A 3,738-nucleotide genomic window follows, 5' to 3' on the forward strand; every position below is an offset into this window, starting at 1 on the left:
GGCAATGAAGACCAGGGCATAAGTGAAATGGGGGCCCTTGGAGGGTTTCATCAGAGGTGTGAGATAACCTGACTTTGTATTTTAAAAGGTTTATTCTAGAAGCCATGGTGGAGGAGCAGGGGACAAGCAGGGAGGCCAGTCAGGAGGTTCATACTGTCATCCAAGGAAGAGAAAATGGTGGCTGGGACCAGGGTGGTAGCAGTGGAGATGGTAAAAGGGGCCAGGATTCTGGATAATCTTGAAGTTACAGCCAATATAATTTCTGAGGGACTAGGTGTGGCAGATATCAGAAGAGGAAGAGTGAAAAGATGATACCAGCTGGGCGCAGTGGCTCTTGCCTGTTATCCCAACACTTTGGGAGGCTGAGGTGGGTGGATCACTTGAGGCCAGGGGTTTGAGACCAGCCTGGCCAACATGGCAAAACCCTGTCTCTACTAAAAATACAAAAATTAGCCAGGTGTGGTGGTGCACACCTGTAATCCCAGCTACATGGGAGGCTGAGGCATGAGAATTACTTGAACTTAGGAGGTGGAGGTTGCAGTGAGCTGAGATCACCCCACTGGTCAAAAAAAAAAAAAAAAAGATTACTCCGGATTCCTGGGCAAGATGGCTGAATAGGAGCAGCTCTGGTCTACAGCTCCCAGTGAGGCCAACTGCATTTCCAACTGAGGTACAAAGTTCATCTCATTGGGACTGATTAGACAGTGGGTGCACCCCAAGGATGGCAAGCCAAAGCAGGGTGGGGCATTGCCTCATCCAGGAAGTGTAAGGGGTCAGGGAACTCCCTCCCCTAGCCAAGGGAAGCCGTGTGGGACTGTTCCTTGAGAGACAGTGCTATCTGGCCCAGATAGCACTTTTTCCCACTGTCTTTGCAACCCGCAGACCAGGAGATTCCCTCGGGTGCCTATACCACCAGGACCCCGGGTTTCAAGCACAGAACAGGGCGGCCGTTTGGGCAGACACTGAGCTAGCTGCAGGAATTTCTTTTTTATACCCCAGTGGCACCTGGAACGCCAGCGAGACAGAACCTTTCACTCCTCTGGAAAGGGGGCTGAAGCCAGGGAGCTGAGTGGTCTTGCTTAGTGGATCTCACCCCCATGGAGCCCAAAAAGCTAAGATCCACTGGCTTGAAATTCTCGCTGCCAGCACAGTAGTCTGAAGTTGACCTGGGATGCTTGAGCTTGGTGGAAGGAGGGGCGTCTGCCATTAATGAGGCTTGAGTAGGTGGTTTTCACCTCACAGTGTAAACAAAGCCACCCTGAAATTCGAACTGGGTGGACCCCCTGCAGTGCCACACAGCCGCTGTAGCCAGACTGCTTCTCTAGATTCCTTCTCTCTGTGCAGGGCATCTCTGAAAGAAAGGCAGCAGCCCCAGTCAGGGGCTTATAGATAAAACTCCCAGGGCAGCTGTGGGATCTGCTTCAGCAGACTTAATCCTGCCTGCTGGGTCTGAAGAGAGCAGCGGATCCCCCTGCACAGCGTTCGAGCTCTGCTAAAAGACAGACTGCCTCCTCAAGTGGGTCCCTGACCCCCGTGCTTCCTGAGAGGGAGAAACCTCCCAGCAAAGGTCGACAGACACCTCATACAGGAGAGCTCCAGCTGGCATCTGGCAGATGCCCCTCTGGAATGAAGCTTCCAGAGCAAGGAGGAGGCAGCAATCTTTGCTGTTCTGCAGCCTCCGCTGGTGATACCCAGCCAAACAGAGTCTGGGGTAGACCTCCAGCAAACTCCAGCAGACCTGTAGAAGAAGAGGGTGACTGTTAGAAGGAAAACTAACAAACAAAAAGCAATAGCACCAACATCAACAAAAAGGGCAACCATGCAAAAACCCCACCTGAAGGTCACCAAAATCAAAGACCAAAGATAGATAAATCCATGCAGATGAGGAAAAACCAGTGCAAAAAGGCTGAAAATTCCAAAAACCAGAATGCCTCTTCTCCTCCAAAGGATCACAACTCCTTGCCAGCAAGGGAACAAAAGTGGATGGAGAATGAGTTTGACAAATTGACAGAAGTAGGCTTCAGAAGGTGGATAATAACAAACTCCTCTGAGCTAAAAATTCATGTTCTAATCCAATGCAAGGAAGCTAAGAACCTTGATAAAAGGTTACAGGAACTGCTAACTAGAATAACCAGTTTGAGAAGAACATAAATGACCTGATAAAGCTGAAAAACACAGCATGAGAACTTTGTGAAGCATACACAAGTATCAATAGCCGAATCAATCAAGTAGAAGAAAGGATATCAGAGATTGAAGATCAACTTAATAAAATAAAGCATGAACACAAGATTAGAGAAAAAAAATAAAAGGAACAAACAAAGCCTCCAAGAAATATGGGACTATGTGAACAGACCAAACTTATGTTTAATTGGTATAACTGAAAGTGACAAGGAGAATGGAACCAAGCTGAAAAACACACTTCAGGATATTATCCAGGAGAACTTCCCCAACCTAGCAAGACAGGCCAACATTCAAATTCAGGAAATACAGAGAACATCACAAAGATACTCCTTGAGAAGAGTAACCCCAAGACACATAATCGTCAGATTCACCAAAGTTGAAATGAAGGAAAAAATGTTAAGGGCAACCAGAGAAAAAGGTCAGGTTACCCACAAAGGGAAGCCCATCAGACTAACAGCAGATCTCTCTGCAGAAACCCTACAAGCCAGAAGAGAGTGGGGGCCAATATTCAACATTCTTAAAGAAAAGAATTTTCAACCCAGAATTTCTTATCCAGCCAAGCTAAGCTTCTTAAGTGAAGGAGAAAGAAAATCCTTTACAGACAAACAAATGCTCAGGGATTTTGTCACCACCAGGCCTGCCTTACAAGAGCTCCTAAAGGAAGCACTAAATATGGAAAGGAAAAACTGGTACCAGTAACTGCAAAAATATACCAAATTGTAAAGATCATTGACACTATGAAGAAACCGCATAAACTAATGGGCAAAATAACCAGCTAGCATCATAATGACAGGATCAAATTCACACATAACAATATTAACATTAAATGTAAATGGGCTAAATGCCCCAATTAAAAGATAAAGACTGGCAAATTGGATAGAGTCAAGACCCATCAATGTGCTGTATTCAGGAGACCCATCTCACATGCAAACACACACGTAGGCTCAAAATAAAGGGATGGAGGAAGATTTACCAAGCATATGGAAAGCAAAAAAAAAAAAAAAAAAAAAAAAAAAAAGAAAACAAACAAACAAAAAAACCAGGGGTTGCAATCCTAGTCTCTGATAAAACAGACTTTAAACCAACAAAGACCAAAAAAGACAAAGGACATTGCATAATAGTAAAGTGATCAATGCAACAAGAAGAGCTAAGTATCCTAAAAATATATGCACCCAATACAGGAGCATCCAGATTCATAAAGCAAGTTTTTTTTTTAATTTTATTATTATTATACTTTAAGTTTTAGGGTACATGTGCACAACGTGCAGGTTTGTTACATATGTATACATGTGCCATGTTGGTGTGCTGCACCCATTAACTCATCATTTAGCATTAGGTATATCTCCTAATGCTATCCCTCCCCCCTACCACCACCCCACAACAGTCCCCAGTGTGTGATGTTCCCCTCCCTGTGTCCAAGTGTTCTCATTGTTCAATTCCCACCTGTGAGTGAGAACATGTGGTGTTTGATTTTTTGTCCTTGCAATAGTTTGCTGAGAATGGTGGTTTCCAGTTTCATCCATGTCCCTACAAAGGACATGAACTCATCATTTTTTA

This window comes from Homo sapiens, chromosome 5, assembly GCF_000001405.40.
Source record: "Homo sapiens chromosome 5, GRCh38.p14 Primary Assembly".
Lineage (NCBI taxonomy): Eukaryota > Metazoa > Chordata > Mammalia > Primates > Hominidae > Homo > Homo sapiens.